The 23,792-nt window shown below is 35.3% G+C and overlaps 1 protein-coding gene across 5 annotated transcripts in view; it reads left to right on the forward strand.

Moving 5' to 3' along the window:
- Positions 1 to 23,792, forward strand: part of ANO3 (anoctamin 3) — a 474,482-nt gene that overhangs the window by 300,741 nt on the left and 149,949 nt on the right. For 4 of the 5 annotated variants that reach the window (NM_001313726.2, NM_031418.4, XM_047427399.1 and 1 more), the window contains one exon: positions 18,556 to 18,714. In NM_001313726.2, coding sequence (NP_001300655.1) covers positions 18,556 to 18,714 — 159 coding nt within the window. Of the gene's footprint in view, positions 1 to 12,055; positions 12,195 to 18,555; positions 18,715 to 23,792 lie in introns of all 5 variants that reach the window. The other variant, XM_017018118.3, reaches the window with a different exon arrangement.

The raw sequence follows: 23,792 nt of genomic DNA on the forward strand, positions 1-23,792 counted from the left end.
TGTACCATGTGCCTGGAAAAGCCACGGGCACTCAACACTAGTGCATGAAAGCATCCAGAAGGGAGGGTGTACCCTGCAAAGCTACAGAGGCAGAACTGCCCAAGACTGTAGGAACCTACCTCTTGCATCACTGTGACCTGGATGTGAGACCTGGAGTCAACAAAGATCATTTTGGAGCTTTAAAATTTGACTGCTCCACTGGATTTTTGACTTGCATGGGCCCTGTAACCTTTTTGTTTTGGCCAATTTCTCCTATTTGGAAAGGCTGTATTGACCCAGTACATGTACCTCTGTTGTATCTAGGAAGTAACTAGCTTGCTTTTGATTTTACAGGCTGATAGGCAGAAAGGACTTGTCTTGTTCAAATGAGACTGGACTGTGGACATTTTGGTTAATGCTGAAATGAGTTAAGACTTTGGGGGACTGAGGGGAAGGCATGATTGGTTTTAAAATGTGAGGACATGAGATTTGGAGGGTCCAGGGACAGAATGATATGGTTTGACTGTGTCCCAACCCAAATCTCAACTTGAATTGTATCTCCCAGAGTTCCCATGTGTTATGGGAGGGACCAAGGGGGAGGTAATTGAATCATGGGGGCTGGTTTTTCCTGTGCTATTCTTGTGATAGTGAATAAGTCTCGTGAGATCTGATGGGTTTATCAGGGGTTTCCACTTTTGCTTCTTCCTTGTTTTTCTGTTGCTACTGCCATGCCTTTTGCCTCCTGCCATGATTCTGAGGCCTCCCTAGACATGTGGAACTGTAAATCCAATTAAACCTCTTTTTGTTCCCAGTTTTGGTGTGTCTTTATCAGCAGTGTGAAAATGGACTAACACTTTTCTTGCAAACATGCACATTATTATAAACTCTAGATACCAAAGTAGACTGCCAAGAAGACAATTTAACAAACTAACAAAATACAGAGTTATAGCTTTGTGGTATAAACTGTGCTTTACTGTTCAATATTTAGGTGTTATGGCTGCATGGTCCTGAGAGATTGGATTTCTGATAAGTCAGCATAGAGACTGCCCATTAAGATATTCCACGTATCTGAAATAATAAAACAGTATAACGTCACAGAGAAATGAAGGTAGAATGAATAGGCCAAGAGCCCTGTGATTTCACACCTAACCACAACTCCATCAGATAGTCCAGATGCAGACTAGACTTCCCACATGCCAACAACTGATCCTCTCCCCAAACCACATCTTCTTCCACATTTCACGCTTTAAGTTTAATTTGGCAAGTGTTTCCTTCATGAAAGATAGATGGAGTGTTTATCAAGGAACTCAGTATTGCCACACTGGAAAAGAATACTTGGCGACTCACCTTGAACAGCGTTTTAATTGGCCTGTTGCCGAATCTGTTTGCTTTTTCATTCTTTATTCCTACACCATGGTGGTTCTTAATAGTGGGAGGCTAAAAAGCAATGTCAAATCTATGGCTCCCAAAACTGTTCAGAAAGCAATTCTTTTATTCTATTTAAACTCATCTGTTGTGAATACTGGCTGGGAGTATGGACTAAATGCCCACAGCTGTTATAAAATTTGTGTTTTATTGCTGTCTTCTCTGATAAATGTATCTATTCTTGTACATTTTTCCCCTTCCTGTGTCTTACAAGGGTATTATGGAAATGGTGAAACAGTGAAACTACTCAACTGGGGCTGTTTGTGAGGCTGAGCAGTTATGATTTTAAGGGTTAGTTATAAATTTTAAGAATGAATTAGTGAATCTATTTTGATAACTCTCTAATTTGTCTAGCCTGTATACACCAGCCATATACTAGGCACTAGACCAAGGACCACATAAACAGTTGTAACAGTTATAAGCAACAACTTCGATTGACACATATAAGCAGTGTTTTTCTAAAAAATGCTGATTTTTCAAGCTTCCAACTTGAGATCAACTGGCTCAAAAATTACTAAAAATTTAAAGCCAGCTCTTGTAAGCTGGTACAATCTGCCTCTGAGCAAGGGAAACATCTCAGCATAAAGAAGGGTATTCAGAAAACAGAAGCAGCGTGTTAGAGGGCTTCATACCAGGAGGCCACACGAGGTGTCAGGAATAAAGAAACAGCAATATTATTCTCCCTCACCATTTTATTATTACTCTTGGTTATGGAAAAATAGCCATAAGAAATTTTGCTTTTTGATACAGTTTGTCCGCAACCTTCCCATACGCACAAGGAAATAGTTGAATTTTTACCTACTTTTTCTACATAGTCCCCACTTCCATGCTCACTGCCATTTTCTACAAAACAGCACAGGATTTAAAGCAGCCCTATAATTTATAATTTTTTGAAGTTTTCTGAAAAAAAATATAAAAACTTAAAAGTAAAAGAGTTAATTACATATACATTATTAAATGGTAGCTTATGCTAAGGAAACTTAATTTGTCCGTAAGTACAGCTTAATATATTCTCTAAATACTACATGTAACTTCCAAAATCTGAAAATATCATTTTAAATCAATCATAATAAGGACAAGGGTTCCCCTGTTTTCTGAAGTCTCTCACTCCAATGTGGATAAGCAAAAATATATTGATTATGGGCCATTGGCCATGGAATGGGAATAATTTAGTTATCTAGAATTAAAATAGTGTTTAATAAAATTAGATTCTCTTTGAAGCATTAGGATGAAGGAGACTAAGCATTAGTGTCTTATTAGAGTCAGCGAGCTGAGCTCTATGTTCTGTGCTGTTTCAATTCTTCTGCTTCACTTCTGAAATTAGTATTGATAGATGCTTTTGCTTAAATGGTGATGGCACAATCTGATCTGATTTTTCTTATATTTTTGCATGTTCCTAATCCTATGGGTCATTCTACTTATATAATGTCTGATTAGTAGAACTTATCTGTTCAATAAAACTACCTTTGGTCAGCTCCATCTGTCATGATAACTCTCTGGGGCAGCAGTTGTTTCTTTAACCATACAGTTCAAAATGCTTATTATATGTTAGATAGTGATTTATCATTTAATATCTGCCACTTGTTTTAATAAAGTACTCTTATGTGTATATAGTTCTCATCCTGTCCCACACTCAAAATATCATCATTTGATAATTATAACGATAAGTACAGGGCATTAATTGCCCAATCATTTTTAGACTAATCAACTCATTTATCTTCATCGCTAGATTTTGAGGCCATTTCTGTTTTGTTCAGTGTTTTTCACCTATGCCTAAAATAGTAAAAGGACAGAAGAACACAAAATCAATTTTTAGTGAGTACTTAATTTTATATTGTGGAAATATTTGTCCTACTTTATGAATGAAGCAACTAATGAAGGCAGAGATTAGGAAAATTCAAGTCCATGTCCAAGTTCTGCTAGTTAAGAAGCAAAACCAGAATTCAAATCTGAGTCTACCTACCAGCAAAAAATAAGTTACTAATACTAGGCTGCACTGTTTCCCATATGGTAGAAAGAAAAAGCTAAGGTAAAGATAAAGACACAATTCTTAGCACATAATAGATTCTTAATAAATATTTTCTTGTTCAAGTTGGAGTGTAAAGGACGTCACTTTAATATTCATTTAGGTCTTCTAGTTGCCATTCAGCTCTCTAGCCTTAATAACTTGATTAAGTGTCTGGGACTGAATAGGCATTCAAAAATTATTTTGTTAAGTTATATATGCCTCTTGTCCCTTCAATGGATAGCCTAAAGTAGTGTTAAGTACATTAGGTGTGTGTTTTTTAGAGTTTACTTTTTAAGTGAATAAAGATTATACCTCTGAGTTTTAATAATCTGGATTTCGTGAGATGTGATGTGTTTCCATCCCTCTTTATTGATATATTGTGTGATTGTATATACAGGGGCATGCTGGAAAGGACTGCTGTGGACAGTTCCAGGGCCAATATTGGCTAAAAGATAAGCATAGTTTTAATGACCTTCCAAACCCTTCACAGAATTACGGCCTTGTGTTTGGCCTCCAAATAAGGGTGCATTATAAAAGATGCACATCAGTCCATCAGCAGCAGAGAGCTAGATTTTCTGTTTTCTGAACTAATGCCCTAACCACTCCTTCCTTATGTTTTTATTTCTATTCAAATGATGAATTATATATGACTTTTTGCCACCTTTAGAATACTGAAGTCATTAAATAGAGATGCAGCTCTTACATGCTAGGAATGTCACAGGCTAGTCCAGTTCTGGACCTGAGAAAGTGACACCAGTCTTTAAAAATTAATGCAGCTTCTAACTTGGCCTTCCTTTCTCCTCCTCCTTCTTGTTTGCAGCCCTCAGGGACTGCCATTCACTGGCTGGACCCCAGATGCCCTAGGGACTGCCACCTGACACCCTCTGAGGATTTCCTTCTTCTCTTTCCACCGTGAAAACTCTAAATACCTTCTTTCAAGCCTGGAATTTGCCAAGGCAAATACTAAATAAACCTAGATTAGGTTTAATTTAAGCTAAGATGTTAGTGGCTTGCTATGTTTGTAAAAGGATAGTTTTCAAAATAATTTTTATGATGCTCAGTAACAACTTTTTCTGTGATTTCATTTTAATGTGTATTACAAAAGGCATAACCAGCATCTTAAACTTGTTATTTTTTTAGATTAAAATTTGGGCAAAGTCTATTTTTGCAGAAATAGTATAATCTAAAGAAACAATATTAAAGAGGTGATCTGTAGTTTTGTAAAATATATATACATTTACATATATAAATATATATTCATATATATGTGTGTGTATATATATATAATTAAAATTTGAGAAAGAATGCCATGCTGTATCTTGCTTAATCACTTGCCAGATGATGGTTGTCATTCAGCTAGCACCTAAGAAGTCTGGCACTCTTGCTAGCTATTTTACATATGTCACCATCTTCACAATTTTGTCAGGAAATGCATAGTCCATATTATTATCTTTTTGTAAAGATACTGAAACTTTATATGTGCACAGTAACGTGAGATAGGAAGTAGAAGTGAGTCTTCACCTCAGGTATTTCAACTACACCTCATATTGTCCCCACAAAATTAAAGAAATATGAATGCTTCCACTTACCTTAGAGGAAATGCTGAGTACCTTCACTAATGCCCATTTTTCTTAAAAATTCACATGGCTTCACAGTCAGTTTGCTATAGGAATTTCAAAGTGCTTAGATTTCATGTAAGAAATTCAACTTCTTTCTGCCTAGGCTTGCCAAGGGGAGCTTTGTTTGCAAAAACAGGGGCTCCTAGAACGGAAGGGATTTTAAGCTACTGCCTGACCCATAAGTTCCTAGCATGGAACCCAAGGACCTCTAAGGGAGGACACACGTGAGCTCCAGGAGATCTATGAAGTCCCTGAAATTGTACGCATGATTTGAATATGTATGTCTGTGTGGTTTTCTCCAGATATTGCCTATTATCAGAGTAGGGTTAGAGAAGGGTTATAATCCACTGATTTTTTCTTGACCTGTCCTTCAACACTACCAGAAATTAAGCCATCCACTTCAAAGAAGCCTATAAAAATGGAAATAGCTGGAGCCATAAATAATCTTAAATGATACCCATAGGTTAAAAGAGTTTATCTTTTATAAATATCTACATTTATTTATTTATTTATTTATTTATTTATTTATTTATTTATTTATTTGAGACAGGGTCTTGCTTTGTCATCCAGGCTGGAGTACAGTGGCACAAACACAGCTCACTGCAGCTTTGAACTCCTGGGCTCAAGTGATCCTCCCACCTCAGCCTCCTGAGTAGCTGGGAATACAGACGTGCCACCACGGCTGGCTGATTTTTTTTTTTTTTTTTTTCTGTAGAGATAGGGTTTCTCTGTGTTGCCCAGGCTTGTCTCGAACTCCTGGGCTCATGAGATCTCCTGCCTCAGCCCCTCAAATTGCTGGTATTACAGGCATGAGCCATGGCACCTGGCCAAAATCTAACTTTTAACAGCAAGAGTAACTCCTGTACTGGAAAGAGCTAAGCTCATGGAAAAATAGGCATGAATATTTTATGATATGTTTTCCATGCCAGCTTTCCAAAGATTCTAACATGACTTTATTCATTTGTACTCTGAGTAGATGATTTGTAGCCAACATGATAGGGTCATCTCATTTATGACATGAGCAAATATAGTTGTTTGATAATCCTTCTTCCTCTTCCTAAGTCTCAGGACATTCTTGTCTTGTTGATAGAGATTTTAGAGGAAAGGAAAGGAGAACATAGGTCTTCTGGGTCATGGAAAGTAATTTCCTGCAAACGTAAGGAACACAGCCTAGGGCTCATCTTTTCTGTGGAAGCCAATACATTTATCATCAGATCAAATCCATCTTGGTGTGAAGGTTATGGGAGATTATATTATTTGCCTTCTCCACATACATGACTAATGGAGAACAATTAATAGTTTGGAATTGTCTGCTTTGGAGCACATGTGAATTTTCCTAATTTCCATGTGTATGGCCAAGGACACTGATGATGATACTAAGCAGTTACTCAGTGCCAGAAATTTTGATTCTTTGATATAGAGGTCTGACATTTCAAGTTAAGTTTATTCAAGTGAAAATAGTAGGCTTTGACCAAGGTAATGAATATTCTGGGGCTATTTCCCCTGTTTCAGAGATTTTTTTTCCCATTCTGTTTTGACTTGATATTTTGATTTTTGCATTTGCAAGCATGCAAATAAATTCAACCTGCCCTTGCATAATTTGACCTCTCTGTGTTGAGCTTTTCCTTCTTTTCAGGCACCTGCCTACATTTCATCTGTTACAAGTCCAGAGCCAAATGAAGGGAGTATCTTAATATTTCAAGAACACTTACTACTGAGGTGTCCTAAAAATATCTGATGCACACTGGGCTGTCTGACTCGTTCACCAGTGTATCCCTGGCACCTAGGACACAAAAAAGTGCTAATAAAAAGTCCACATTTGCAGGATCTGCAGATGTCCTTGGAGGTAATAGGGACCCAAGTGCTCAGGGATGCAGCTTAGCTCTTGATTTCTGATTTCCACTTTGTCTTGAACTTTAGTGATTCCTCACTGTCTTGTGAACTCTTCAGTGTTGGTTTGTTTGTTTTTATAGATTTAGGAATACAAATGCAGATTTGTTACATTGATATATTATGTAGTAGTGAAGTCTGGGCTTTTAGTGTAACCATCACCCAAATAGTGTACATCGTACCTATTAGGTAATTTCTCATCCCTCACTCCCCTCACTCTCCAAGCCTCAAATGTCTATTATTCCATTCTCTATATTCGTGTGTACATATAATTTAGCTCCCACTTATAAGTGAGAACATGCAGTATTTGACTTTCTGTTTCTGAGTCATTTCACTTAAGGTAATGGACTCCAGTTCCATCCATGTTGATGTAAAAGACTTGCTTTTATCCCTTTTTTTCTGGCTGAGTAGCATTCCATGGTGTGTGTGTATGTGTCTGTAGATTTATATATAAAATCAACCTAAGCATTCATCACAGATGACTGTAAAGAGAAAATGTTGTGTGTATATATATATATATATATATACACACACAGACACACACACATATATACAGACACACACACACACACACACACTACATTTTCTCTCTCTATATATATACACAGACACACAAACCTATATATATTTCTGTGTGTGTATATATGTATACACGTATATATGTATATACAAATATGTATACAGACATACACACAAATCTATAAAATCAAACATTGAAACATGTATATACATGTATATATACAGACACTCACAGAAGTATGTATATATATGTGTGTAGATAGATACAGACACACACAGAAATATATATAGGTTGATTTCACATCTTTGCTATTGTGAATAGTGCTCTTATAAATATACAAATGTACTTTTTTTGATATAATGGTTTCTTTTCTATTGGGTAGTTACTCAGCAGTGGCATTGCTAGGTCAATTAGTTCTTTAAGAAAATTCCATGCTGTTTTTGATAGAGGTTGTACTAATTTACATTTTCACCAACCACAATGAGATACTATCTTACACCAGACCGATGTTGTAAAAAGTTTTTCTTTGTGTAATTTTTATTTGATTTCATGGGAAAGATTGATCCAAATAACCAGAAATAGAAATGCACTAGTATCTTAGGAATATTTTCACTGGGTCTGTGAGGTTACTCATATTTTACAGGAGTTTTCTAAATACATGTTGGAAATCATCAAGTGGCTCTTTGCAATGAAAACTCTTGTTTGTTTTGTTTTGGGAGCTCCTCAAGGGAAAGTGTGGCATTTATGATAGCAAGCAATGCATTGAAATCATGTTCATGATTTTTTCAAACTTTCTATAAAATTTTACTCCCCAAATTCCTTTACAATAAAATGGTATTTGATTTTATTTTGTATTTAAAACTTGATCTTTTAGCATATAAGATCAAATTTTATTCTCATTATTTTCATTCTCAAGCTATCAGTAAATTCTAAAGTCTTTTCTTTTGTATTTCCATGTGATCATTGGCAGAAGTGCAGAATAACTACAGATTGGGTTTAAGTAGAGTTTGTGTAGAAAGTTGTCTTTGCCAGCTGACTTTATGGGACTTGAATGTGTTCACATCTCAACATATGTACTCTGAGGTGATCACTCTTTCCTGATGATGTCTTTTAGACCTCATGGAATCCCTTCAGAATCACCAGTTCAATTTAATATCTCTAATAAGCATATGTGAATCATATTTTAATTTTGTAAATGATTATGTAGATACAACTGTAATTGACTGAAGAGAATGTATTGTTTAGGGATTATGATTAAAATTGGACTTTACCGTTTGAAGGTCTTTAGTTATAATAACTATAGGGTGTATACCATTTTATGATTCACAGAGTGTTCAACTCACATAATTCTTAAAATAGTCACGCAAGGCTATTATTATTCCTATTATATTATACAGGTGAGAAAACAGACTTGTTATAAGTAAGATTTTAACACTAATATAGAATCCCACATTATTTACTCCCAAATTCATAGATTATGCTGGTCTTTTAAATTGTTATTATGAATATAGTCATATATTTGTTATTATCAATGATAGTCAATAATTATTAATAATTAAAATTAATAATAATAATATAATTATTATGCATATCAAAAACCATATTATAAGATCATATTGAGCTGGAACAAGTTATATCCAACATTGAGCTTTACAGGATCTCTATTGCTTGCCTTATTTGGTTTAGAATAAATTATTACAGCCAAAATTGAGACTTCTGTATAATATTCCCTGATCTTTTCTCTCAATTAGTCTCAACAGAACGAACTAGTATTCTGCTTTTGATGATTAGCTTTCCTATGAATATTTTTGAACTTTTACTGTATAAGTTATATAGTAAAAGTATAAATAATCTTTAAACAATATTGAAGATCATTTTTATATCTTTAAGCTTTGAAAAAATGTAACAGACATTGCTTTTACAAAAGATCAACAGCATCCCTTCGATGGATGTAGGAGCAGATACATTTGTACTGTCATATTCTATTGCATGACTACAAAACAAGTGACATTAACTGTTTGACCACAATTTAGTTTTCACTTTCCAGTTGATGGACTATTTTATTTGTTTTCAGCCTTCTGCTTTTTCAGATAATGTCACATTTCTTCTTTTATTAAATACTTGTTTATATCTCATGACATTTTTCCATTGGATTATTTGCCTTTTCTTACGAATTTCGCAGTTATTTATACAACCTGAAGCTTAATAATTTATTGGTTGTATTCATAAAAATATATTCTAGTTGTAACTTACCTTTTCACAATCTTTATGATATCTTTTAAATTTACAAAGCTTTTATTTGAATGTAATTGCATGTACCAGCTTTTTTTTTATAACTGGTGCTGATGCTTTTTATTTATTAAAAGCAAACATAAATTTCCTACCAAAAATATTATAAAATGCTCTCATAGTTTATTCTAAAAATTATTTTTTAATTTTACTTTTCTCACTTAAATCTTTAATCCTTTCATTTTGTTTTCTTATTGTAAATTGAAAGTTAAGGGTCTGTTTATTTCCATTAAATTAACTTATTTTTTTAGTGTCTCTAATTGAGTAGTCCACTATATCCATGAAAATTTTATGGATTTGTAATTCCATATCAATCATATACATACTGGTATCTTTCTATTCTGTTTCTATTTCTATATTGTTTTATTTCGATTTTTATGTTGCCTATTCCTGCATGAATACCATATGTCCTGTTTAAGAAATATTTATGAACTGTAAATTCCTATGTTAGCTTCTGTAAGATATAGTCTCATGCATTTTACAATCAAAAAATGCATTTGTAATTACGTTTAGCAGCTTTATTGATATAAAATTTACATGCTATACAATTAATCACCCATTTAAAGTATTTGATTCAATATTTTTAATATATTCATAGGATTGTGCAACCATCCCCACAATCTAATTTTAAAACATTTTGATTCCCTAGAAAGAAACCCTGTACCTGTTAGGAATTATTCTCCATTCTACCCACTCCTCCCTCAGCCCTAGGAATTGATTAATCTATTTTTCATCTCTATGTATTTACCTACTATTCAGTTTTATATGGATGGAATTATATAATTGTGTATGTGTGTGAGTGGGTTCTTTCATTTAGTAACATTTTCAAAGTAGACCTATGTTGTAGCATGTGTTAACATTTCATTTCTTTCTATTGCCAAATATTTTATTGGATAGATATATGTGCCACATTATTTATGTATTAAGCTGATAGGCTTTTTGATTTTCTTCTTTTTTTTACTATTATGAATAATGTTTTTATGAAAATTGGTGTGCAAGTTTTTGTGTAGATGCATTGTTTTTGTTTCTCTTGGATATATACCTAGGAGTGAAACTGATAGTGTTGTAACTTTATGTTTAATACTATAAGAAATTGCCAAACTGTTTTCCAAAGATTCTGCACTGCTTTGCATCCCCATCAGAGATGAACAGGGTGAATTTCTCCATATCCTCGTCAATACTTATTTTTTGTCTTTTTCATTATAGCCTTCATAGATGGTGAAAAATGGTGTCTCACTGTGATTTTGATTTGTGTTTCTCTAATAACTATAATTATGTTAAGAATCTTTGAATGTGCTTGTTGGTCATTTCTATATTTTCTTTGGAGAAATATCTATTCAAATCATTCATCCATTTTTAATTGGCTTATTTGTGTTTTTATTGTTGAGTTATAAGAGTTGTTTACATATTAAGGAAACAAGTTTCTTATCAGATGTTTGGTTTCTGAATACTTTTCCCATTCTGTGGTTTACACTTTCACTTGCTTTATGGTATATTTTGCAGAAAAAAAAAACCACCAAAAAAAGAAAAACACCCGGTTTTGCTCTTTATAATAAGTAGGGTCTGTAACAAGAGCTATTAGGAGGAAACAGTTGTAGCTGTAAAATAAGTTTTAATTACATACCAAGGGCTTTGGATTTTTCTCTAATTTAGGAGTGTAAATCTAGAACTACTAGGTAAACCATAACATCAGGCTACCAGTGTCTAGACTTCCATCTTTTAATTTAACATTAAAAATTGCCATAAAAGGATACAGAAAGTAAAAAATAAATTCCACCACCAGAAAGTAATGAAAAACATTCCTATTATTAACAGATTCAGTAGGATAGGATTAAGAAAAACAAACCTAGAACACAGATACTTGGCCTTATGAGCTGAAACCCACCTGATGGCCACCCAAATTATGGAGGAGAGTTGGACTAACCTGATTCATTGTCTGCCTTTAACATTGGACTGCAGAGGCAACATAACCAAGGAAATTAACCACCTACTGCCCTTGGGCAGTCTTCTGAGCAGGCCAGAGTCACGCCCTGCTTCCTGTGTCCTGCCTCAGCTGTGCCTATTATTCTTTAAATCCAATAAAAAATAAAAATACCTACTAAATGGGTATAGCAATATTTGGTTACATTGGTTCTGAATACAAAAACTGTAGAGAAAAGGAGTACTGTGGGTGGGAGCAGATACTGGCAGCATCTGAGAGCCATCCACACTGGGAAAGAGTGTCATCCTTGTTACATCCTTGTTTTGCCATGTTACAGAGCATGGCAAAACAACATTTTAAGCATAGGCCAGGAATCAGTAATCAAGAATATTCTACTTGTACAGAGCCATGCATGCTACATGAAGACTTGCAGGACACCATAAATTGGATCAGGGCCTTTACCCAACAAGCTCCACATCAGGTCAAGATCGGCAAGCTGAGGCAGAACTATGACCTCTTCTGAACTATGACCATTTCACAAATGTAAGTCGAATGGAAAACATCTTTATAATATTCAGTATTCACACATACAGAGACTAGATTTAGGACAAAAAACAGGACCACAGAGCAATGAGGAAAGAGTTCTTTTTACAATAGGGTGCTGGAACAGTTGGATAACCATGTGAGAGGGTGGTATAAAGAAGGCTTTTTCAGGAGTTGGTGAGGTTCTCTTTCTTAACTTGGGTAATGGTTATGTAGGTGTTTATCTTGTAACAACTCATTAAGCTATGAATTCTTTTACTGCACTTTGTGTTTTGTAGTGAATTATATTTCAAAATTATACGTAAAGGACTTCTACTTTCCTTTGCTATGGTTCCATATTCACATCAATGCCATTTGCATTACTTATCTGTTTCCAACTGTCTTTGTCCTGAGAAAGATAATTTTCCAGAAAGTAAAAGGGTTAATTTGGATTATTGGAAAACAAGTAAAATCGCAATGTAAATGAATACATTATATAGTTTTACCTGATTTTTTTTAGTTAAAATAGCCAACATTTTTCTGATCTCCTGAAATGAATCAGTGTTGCGACTGTTCTGCTTGCACTGTCTCATTTAGCCATAATAATAATTCTACAATGTTGGCAACATTGTTATCTTCATTTAAAAGCTGTAGAATTTAGGCTAAGTAGTGAAGTTAAATGCCTAAGAAGGCAGTAAATTAGATTCCAAGTATGTCTGAATACAGTTCTCAACACCTTAACCAGTGTGTCATACTACATTTTACTAACTCACAAGTATGGTTAACAGATAACTGGCAATCACCTACTGATTAATGACATGATCTAATTTTATATGTGCTGGATAAAGACTGGCTGTGGTAAATTCACAAAGATTATATAACCTTCCGTGTCTGTTGGTACCTATCAGGCTTCTTCTGGATACACTCTGACATTCTTCATGTCTTTATAGCTCATAACTCTATTAATGCGCAAAATAGAGCATTGTAATGCAATGTTTACATGCCTATAACTGCAAGTATATGATAAAATCCCTGAAAGTTTTCAATGTCTTATTTTCTTTAGCCCTACAGTTTAGCACACAGGTGTTAAATGATGCTTGTTAGATTGAGAAGAATAAACATTCAGGGAAAAAAAAAAAAAAAAGCCTGTCACCTTCACCAAGACAAGCAGTTACTGCTCTAATCTTATTTAAAGAGTACCCTAAAACAGGTTCCTTGTGCAAATGGGCAAATCTCTACCACTATTTTGCAAATGGGCTAAAATATTTGCAAAGTGTTCCTACTCAACATAAGCCATAACTTGCATATTCTTGAGATAATTTTTAGAAAGATCAGCTTTTCTGAAAGTATCTGAGCTTCATGGTTTGCAAACACATTAATGATTTAGTTATTTTCAAACTGTTTAAAGATTAGGTAGATACCTGATGAATGAACTGCATCCCACCCTCTCTGAGAAAAAGCGAATTTTATTCTGTCCCCTAGAAACAATAAACATGAAAAAACTCTAAATCAAATGCACTCCACATTGTAATTGGAAAGCATTTCACTCTTTCAGATAACTCATGAAATGAATCATGATTTTATGTTTGGACAACTGTTATTATACCAAACAATTCAAGAAGCTGTATTCTTTTTATCTAGATGTAATGACACAGGTAATCAGTTTTCAGTTAATTCTGTTTTAAAGCAATAGGTTTGAACATGGGTTAATTAACATATTTGTGAATGGCTGTCATATATATTAAAATAAAGTATACCACTATTAACCTTAAAATGATATAAAACCTGTACTGAGTTCTTGCTACGTAATTCAGAAGAGGTTTCCAAATTTTGCTATGCTTCTCTATTGACATTTTGGTATCTACTTTTTATCGTGTCTGTTAAAACTGGTAAAAACTCATCATTAAACATTTAGAATTTATATAATAATTAAAAATTCATTTAGTAAGTTTGTGAACTTATTTACTCACTGAGAGACAAAATTTGGGTATAATAGGTTACTTCTTTTTATAAAGATGTGGATTTTTAAAACAGATAGCTGTCTTTCTGGGAGAGTTTAGCATTTACTTAGCTTAGAATCAGAGTAATGGATAATAATTGTTAGCGTTCCATTTTCAGTCCATATTGCTTTTAAAATATGAAAAGCATATAGAATACTTTTAAAAACCTTTTTATCTTTCTAATATTTTTTTCCACAAACCAGTCTCTTGATTTCTAGGTCTTCTCATTGAACAACATTTGCCTTCACCTGGGATTAAATATGTTACCAATGCTATGAGACTCAGTTGATTCCGTTTACCGCACTGGGAGAGTAGTATACTTTAAGAAAACGTGGAAGAAAATTTGTGTTTTATTTTATTTTCACCTAATCTTTTCTTAGATCAGCATGGAGATGCCTGTAAGCAGTGAGTCACAGATATAAAGCAAAAAAGCAAGCCAAATTGTAACTAATTGCGGTGCTACTATAATTGTGTGTTTCTTCATTTTAGCCTATTATAATTTGTTCTATTATAAATGTCAGAAGGGAGAGAATGACAAATGACCACATGATTTTTTTTAGGCCAGTATTCTTGAGGTTAACCCTATCTGAATACATAGAACTATGCGTATTCTCTTCCTTTCTTCCTTCTCTTCTTTCTTCTTTCCTTCTTTCTATAAATATTTATTGATGCCTACAATGTGTCTGGCTGTGGACTAGATGTTTAAAATACTATGTAAACCAAAAAGTTAAAAAATTTCTTACCTTCGTAAACTTTATATCCTTGTAGAATAAGACTGTGAGCAAACAAAAGATAATTAATGAATAAATTAGCTAGCACTATATTATGTATTAGAAGGTAGCAGATGCTAAGAAAAAAAGATATCAGGGGAAGTGGGATCAAGAGTGAGGAGTAACTTGGAGAGCAACTGGAGGGTCTAGAGGAGAGGAGTTACATTATCTCATCTATAATGTCGAGAATCATTGGGATAACTCGGCTGTCATGTTGAGAACAAACTATAGAAGAGAAAAGGTAGAAGCCCGCCGGGCGCGGTGGCTCACGCCTGTAATCCCAGCACTTTGGGAGGCCAAGGCGGGCAGATCACAAAGTCAGGAGATCGAGACCATGGTGAAACCCCATCTGTACTAAAGATACAAAAAAATTAGCCGGGCGTGGTGGCGGGCGCCTGTAGTCCGAGCTACTCGGGAGGCTGAGGCAGGAGAATGGCGTGAACCCTGGAGGCGGAGCTTGCAGTGAGTGGAGATCACGCCACTGCACTCCAGCCTAGGCGACAGAGCGAGACTCCACCTCAAAAAAAAAAAAAAAAAAAAAAAAAAAAGAAGAGAAAAGGTAGAAGCAAAGAGACAAGCCTGGCTACTGCAATAATCCAATAGAGATTACTATGGTTTAGACCAGAGTGGTAGTAATGGTGGAAGTAATGAAGGTGTTAGAAAGTGGTCAGATTTTAAATATATTTTGAAAGATTTTCTTGATGATTTGAATGTTTGATGGGTAAGAAAAAGAGCTAGAAAAAAAAAGACGATTCAAAATGTTTGGTGTTAGCAATTGAAGGGACAGAGTTGCAATCAACCGGAATAAAGAAGGTTGTGGGAAGTACCTGTTTGGAGAAGATAAACAATTTCATTTTGGACAATTAACTTTGAGATGTTCATTAGACATCCAAGTGAAGAAATCAAGAAGGCAGTTGGATATACAAGCCTGTGAATATTTATTATGTAGTGGTCAACATATAGATGGTTATTTAAAGCCATGAGCTTAGAAGAAATCACAAGGAGGGAGTATATAGGGGGAATAAAGGCAAGATAACCAGTGAATAGTTAATTAACAAATCAGAGGAAGAGAGAACGAGTGACCACTTAACTAGGAGAAAATCCAGACACATTAGATATACTGGGAGTCAAAGGAAAAAGTTGTACCAAGTAGGTGAGAGTGATTCCACTGCAGGAAGATAAATTTAAGACAGCAAATTGGCCGGGCGCAGTGGCTCACACCTGTGATCCTAGCACTTTGGGAGGCCAAGGCGGGCGGATCACGAGGCCAGGAGATCGAGACCGTCCTGGCTAACATGGTGAGACCTCATGTCTACTAAAAATCCAAAAAATAAAAAAAATAGTAGCTGGGCGTGGTGGCGGGCGCCTGTACTGTAGTCCCAGCTACTCTGGAGGCTGAGTTGAGGCAGGAGAATGGCGTGAATCCCGGAGGCGGAGCTTGCAGTGAGCCGAGACCGCGCCACTGCACTCCAGCCTGGGCTACAGAGCGAGACTCTGTCTCAAAAAAAAAAAAAAAAAAAAAAAAAGACAGCAAATTGATAACTGGATACAGCAATAATATGTCATTAGTGACATTGTTAAAAAAAAGTGTCTGAAGTGTTGGAGGCAAACGCCCTCTAAAATCTGAATTTAACTGTGCCTTCTGTGGCAAAAAAATTCCCTCACCTAAAAGTACTTCTCTCACGTAAAAGCTGGAAATGGCCTTTTTTGTTACCCTTTTTAAACTACTCAAGCCTCATTCCTAGGAGTGTTTATTTGTATATGGCTCCTTATCTTTTTAAATATAGTGGTCAGGACCACCAGCTAAGGTATCAACTTGGTCAAAATGCTGGCTTCATTATTTTCTTTTCTGTGATATCTGTATGTCACTTAACCTCTTTGGCTTCTATGTACTCTTGTCAATATTTACCTTCATGAGTTATGACAATTAAATAACCTTATGAAGCACTTGGCACAATGCATAGTACATAGTAAGTATTTGATAAGTGATAGCTACTATTGTCATTATTACTATGTTATGGAACTACAAGGCCCTGGTGGCTTCACTGGTGTTAGTCACTTAGTCACTTTATAATCCTTTCCAGATCCTGTGAAATCTGCCAGAATTCCAAGTTAATCCTGGAAATCTCAGAGCTTTTTTATTCATTGAAGAAAAGACTGTGTAAAGCTTTCTTGTTTTTGAACTTGGAAGTCTCTACTACTATAAATTTATGCACTTGAACTTAATCTCTCTGCAGAACTACAGCCAACTAGAAGCCCCTCAGGCAACCTAACCTGTTGCTGTAGGGTGACTCTTTCTTGGATATTCTTTCTGTTTCTTGAATGACTCGTTGGCCTTTATCTCCTTAAACATCAGGTTGCTCTGGTCCTCACTTCTTTCACCTGGAGCTGCCTATCTGCCCCAGTCAGAGTCCTCCAAAGCAGTCTGAAATGCTTTTGTCTGAAATTATCTAATATCTCCCCAGACATTGGAAAGCATTTTGAATCTCAAGAATGCCTGTATAGGAAATATGAAATAGAGAGTTGGTACAGATGTCCAAATAGTTTGAAGGAAAGTGGCGAAAGAAGGATGGGGTAGATAATAGTTATGAACATGAACTTGGAGGCAGAAGAAATTGGGTTCAAGTCCTGGCTCCTCATTGATCTTGGGCAATGTACTGGAAAAGCCCCCCTAAGAGGACCATGAGGAAAATGTGTTGATCAATAAAGCTGATTTATTAAAATTCCTTACAGCAAATAAGAATACCACACGGATAGTCTAAGTAGTGTTTTAGAAGAATGAAGTTAGGCAACAGTTTTCAAAGGATTCCCATGGCCTGGACTGGGTAATCAGTAGGTCTTATAAGGCAGGAATTTGGTTGAAAATTGGGCAGAGACCATTAAAAATAGCTTAGGTTGGTGGATACAACAGAGTGAAGGCCCTAGAGCAGTCTTGCTGAGCAAGCAGTTTGTTTTGAAAAGTAAGCTGTTCTAGTTGGTTTGCAGTCATATATTCTAGGAACAAGTATTTCCCAGAGCAAACAACTTAGGGATTATTTTTTGGTTTCAGTATTACTAAATATACATTTAGGAAAATAATGCCTGGATTGAGTACTATGTAACACAAGAAATAAAATTGGTTTGAGTTTTTAGTATTTATGTTCTCTAAGCCTTAGTGTCTTTATCTTTGAAATGCATGTAATGAGTAGTATATAGGATAAAATATTGAAAGCACTTATGTCTGGTCATGATATTTAGTAAATACTCAACATATGTTAGCATTATTTTATGATGAAATAAAATAGTAAATAAGTAATCATTTTATTTGTTGTTATATGATATATCATTTTCATGGGTCTTATTGAATAAAACATATGCATTTTTATGCCAGCACCAGAGAACCCATGTTCAGATATCAGACCACCTAATTTCATATCCTGGAACATCACTCGCTAATGTGGCTCCTATAGTAGATTGTAAACACTCTTTAATTCTATTTCCATATCTCATGGTAGGAATATTAAAAATACATTTTTTGATATTGTATTGCCAGTGTTCAAATGGCAGTAACTGTAACTAAAACATACATGCTTGTCTAACCCACACCATTAACAATCATTGCTTTATTTGCAGAATGACATGAATTACATAGCATCCAGTGGACCTCTGTTCAAAGATGGCAAAAAGAGAATTGATTACATCTTGGTTTATAGAAAGACAAATATACAATATGATAAAAGAAACACATTTGAAAAGAACCTCAGAGCAGAAGGCTTGATGTTGGAGAAGGAGGTAGGTGCTTTACTATTATTAGTTATGTGATAAAATGTGTTGGAACAGATATAATCACTTATGGTTTAGAAAGAAAAATATGTATCACATGACTTTATAAAATACATAGTTTTTTTCTAACAAATGTTAAATAAATACATGCACATAGCCCTATTAAATATGTATTCACTTTTTAATCTATATAATTCTGTACAATTTAAGTATTTTCAAAGGGCATGACTATTTTTGCAATTTTAAAAACTGAATAAGGAATGATTATAGTTATGTCAAGTAGAAAACTTTATGAAAAGGAAAATAACATTTTGAAAGAAAAGAATTTGCCAAACGATTAATGTCTGTTTTTTAGTGCTGGAACTATGAGTGGTTTTCTTCCCAAATCTTTTTCTTTTGTGAGTTTTTAAAAAAATGTTCTTGGAAGAATTTATTTTTTGTAGTGAAACAATAAAAGTAGCAAGACTCACTAGAAAAAAAATAGAAAGAAGGAAAAGCGTATCCTCCATAATCCTAGTATCAGAGAAAATTTAAAAAAAAACTCACTATTTTAGTTATACCTTGTACAGTTATAGAAAACATGTATTAATCGCATTACAGAAAGAAAAAACCTTAAGGTAGAAAATTAAAAGTATAGAAATGTACAAAATAAAAAGCCAAAGTCAATATCTACAGTCTCTCAAATCATACGCTTCTCTCCTTTGGTGGTCTTGTTAACAACTTGATTTTATCTTGCTAGGTGCCCCTCAGTAAATTTTCTATATATATACAAATATATAAAATTTTACACAAAATTAGCCATGATATATATGTACGTATACATATATATACACACATCTATCTCTCTCTCTCTATATATATATATATATTATTCTGCTGTTCACTCTTGTCATTTAGCAATATATTACAGATATCTTAAATTGCCATTACATTTAGAACCAACTCAGCTTTTTACTAGATACATATTATTACAACTTAGAGATTTACCCAGCTGTTCCGCTACTGAGAAAAAGAAAATCAATTAACTAACTATTACAGAGACACCTAAACCTAAGTTACTTTTTTTCTTTTTTTTTCTGTGAGACTGAGTCTCACTCTGTTGCCCAGGCTGGAGAGCAGTGGCGCGATCTTGGCTTAATGCAACCTCTGCCTCCCGGGCTCAAGCAATTCTGCCTCAGCCTCCCAAGTAGCTGGAATTACAGGAACCGATCACCGTGCCCACCTAAGTTTTGTATTTTTAGTAGAGACGGGGTTTCACCATGTTGGCCAGGCTGGTCTTGAACTTCTGACCTCAAGTGATCTGCCCACTTCAGCCCCCCAAAGTACTGGGATAACAGGCGTGAGCTCCTGCGCCCGGCGCTACTATTGGGTTTTAACTAGTTTTGTAAAAAATAGGAGCAACAAGGTAAAGGAAAAAAAAACTGTTTTTGATGAAATATCTAGATAATTTGCTAATAAGCATCATCAGAGGGTTAATAGGCACTTAGATATAATATTGGAATCCCTTTACCCCCACAGAACATCTCCTGGAATTAGTTTTCTGAGGAACACACATTAGGAAGTACTAAACTGTAGTTTGGGGTAGCCCTAGAAAAACTAATCCATTTAGGCCTGGCGCCATGGCTCACGCTTATAATCCCAGCACTTTGGGAGGCCAAGGAGGCCGGATCATGAGGTCAAAAGATCAAGATCATCCTGGCCAACGTGGTGAAAACCCATCTCTTACAAAAAGTAGCTGGTCGTGGTGGCGCGTTCCTGTAGTCCCAGCTACTCTGGAGGCTGAGGCAGGAGAATCACTTGAACCCGGGAGATGGAGCTTGCAGTGAGCCGAGATCATGCCACTGCACTCCAGTCTGGCTACATTGCGAGACTCCATCTCAAAAAAAAAAAAAAAAAAAAAGAGTAGAAAAGAAAAACTAATCCATTTATGTTTATTAAAATCCTTTAATGTGTATGAAATAACAAACACATCATGACTTGACTCTTTACAAGGAATTACTCACACACAACTTAGAGTTACAGAGCCCAGCAAGTAAAATTCTGACTTCAGTTTTCTGTTGCCTCCTTTAGTTGTCTCTTTATTATTCATCTTCCAGGAAGTTTAACCCAGAATATTCCGCCTCCCGCCCACACCCAATCACTGGTGGCTAATTAAATAAAGAAGTACTTATTGAAAAAAAAATCTCATGAACTCAGTGTTGTGATAGACTTTTATTCTTTTGATATCCTTGTGACTTCTCCTCCATACAAATAGAATTAATCACTCTTCATCTGCTCCCAGAGCAGTTTATACATAGATCTTATTATGATGCTGGTATTTGTTTTTCTCACATATCTCAAACTATTTATTCATTCAGCACATTATTTTGGCTAGCACTGAGCAAGCTGCTGAGATATAAGATAAGTAACAAACTAACAAACTCACTGCCTTGACTAAATTTACAGTCAGTATAGGAGTCAGACATGAAATCTGTATATTCATAACAGGTATTGCTCTCAGCTTCTACCTAGTTTTCTTGCCAGAAAGCTCAGATTCTCAGTTCTGAGTCTTCCTCTTCCTTATTCCTCCAAACTTTTCTCAAGAATAATACTGGATGTTAGTCATCCAAAAAGGGTCCTGTTCCGCTTTTAAAGGGAAGTCTATTTATTCTAGAGCTCTCACTCTCAAATCACTCCCAAATGGTGTCTTTGTTTAGGTTGAATCTCAGCAGGACAGTGTCCATTTGTCTACTCTTATTCCTGAACAGAGAGGGTTCTCATCCACAATTACAGTTCTTTTAGTCCACATTCACATTCTTAGGATTTGTTTCCTACTGTTAAATAAATTGCCAGGACAGCATGATCAGGAGGTGTATTCAACCTCAATTGCATGTTGTTGGAACCAGTCGTCCCTGCAAACTGCTACCATTGTGTTGAACACAAGTTACCAGTCTTGACTTTCTCTGTCCTCCCAACTGTGTACCTCTGACTTAGTTTCCTAACAGTGAAAAGGTTAAAGCTACCCCAGTTTTCCAGAACAGATATTATTAGTTTTGAAGCCGAGTTGGGAGATTTTTATATCTTCCCTCTGAAAAGGCCATAGAAGCCTTATGAAATTTTACCCAAACCTCTGTAAAAACTCTGCCTATGCAAGCAAGGGAAGGTGCTGCAAATTAAGAAAACAAACAAAAAAAAATTTTTTATACTCTTTCCACTTGATTAATACTTGCACAACTGAGAGAGTACTTCAGAGACTGCACAAGAAAGATGATCTGACCCAGGGTGACTTTCAATCTACACTTACTAATACAATGCTTAAAATTCTTTAATAGGATAACCTTTATCATTTGAAACTGTGATAAGTGGCTGAAAAGGAAAGTAAATGGTGCTAAATGGCTTGCAACAAGGGCAGTGGTATGGTCTGGAGGGTGAGGGGAGAGTAGAAGAAAGGGAAGGAGGGAAATTTTAAAAATAAACTTTGAATTGAGATTTGAAAAATGAATAGTAGCTAATGTAGGTGAATAAAAGGGCTAGATATGGTTTTCAATACTGGCTGTATATTAGAGTCATGTGGTGATCTTTTAAACTATTGATGCCAGATCCCACCACAGCATAGATCAATTAAAGATCAAGATGGTGGTGGGAGGAAGGAATATTTTTCAATACCAGAAAAAAACAGGGTACTAAATGAGGTTGGAAAGAATGGCTGCAGTTAAGTCATTCTTTTTTGTTAGTTTAAGACTTTTGATCATTAACTTAAGAAAAATTGGAAGTTATTAAATAATTTTAAGCAGGTTAGTATCATGATCACATTCGTTTTCAAAAAATAAATTTGGATTACTGAAAAGAACATAGATTTGAAGAACAAGACTGGATGCACAGAGATCATGGGTGGCATTAGAGATGCAGTTCATTTCAGCAATTTGTGTTTCTCTTAGACTTGAATGCTATGAGCTATCTTATCCTATGTTCTTTCCACCCTGTGCTAACAATTTGCAGAGTGACTTTGTAAAAACGTAATTTTTAAGTTTTCCCTTCTCTCAAGAGTGAATCTCCTTTCTCTTGGGAATTTGGGGTGGAATAATTAAATAATAATGTGAAGTGTGAAGGCAGTGGGTGTTTTGTTCTCTGAGGAGCTTGCCTTCATCAGAGCTGAACAGAATAGTGCCAGATTGGCAGTTTTTGACTCCTGGGGAAAAGGTAATCTTTCTCCCTGACAGCATCATCCCCGCACCAGCCCCCTGGCCAGTAACTGCAAAAAAATGAAACTACATTTCTTTTCTTCTGCTTTGTTTTTTATGTAGAGGTATAGAAAGAGAGAAATTAAGTTGAGTAAGTTATAAAAGAAGGTTATTCCTGTTGGTTGATAAAAATCTCTATACATTTTAAGACTTACAAAATGAGAAATATTATGTGTGTGCACTTAGTTTGACATTTTACTCATTGATAGTAGTTATTGTAATGCAGAAACATCCTTCTAAAGCATCCCCTTACTTGAGTATATTAGATTATTTTACATCCTAGAGGTTGAGAGTAATGAATTAATAACCAGTACTAGGCAAGCTGTTCATGATGCTAATTTGAATCCTGACACAGCACCCTCTTCCAGAATAGTCCAGGCTTATTTGCTTTCTTGTCTCTATCACACTGGCTTAGATATAAATTACATAACATGTGTTCTCAAAATAGGTTAACTTATTCATCCATTTTATAAATGCTTAGTGCAAGCCTACTGTGTGTCCAGCACAGAACTAGGTGCTAGGGATACATAAGCAAAACAAAGAATCTTCTCTCTTGACATTTACAGAGCAAATGAAAGTAAAAATACTATAGAAAAAAAAAGAGAGGGTATAAGAAAGATAAGGCAAGAACCGACAAGAACTAGCAAGTGATCAAATGATGGAAGTGGAATGAGTGACACAAAGGGTAGTAGCAGAGGAGGTATGGGATATTGAAGGTAAGATTATAAAAGGCTGTGTAAGTCATTGAAGAAACTTTGGCTTTCACTCTGGATGAAATGAGGTTCTAAGAAATGGCATGACCCGACTTACATTTAAATAGGTCATCCTGACCCTTGTGAGAAGGATAGGCCACTGAGGACAAGAGTG

Source organism: Homo sapiens, chromosome 11 (assembly GCF_000001405.40).
Source record: "Homo sapiens chromosome 11, GRCh38.p14 Primary Assembly".
In the NCBI taxonomy this organism is placed as follows: Eukaryota; Metazoa; Chordata; class Mammalia; order Primates; family Hominidae; genus Homo; species Homo sapiens.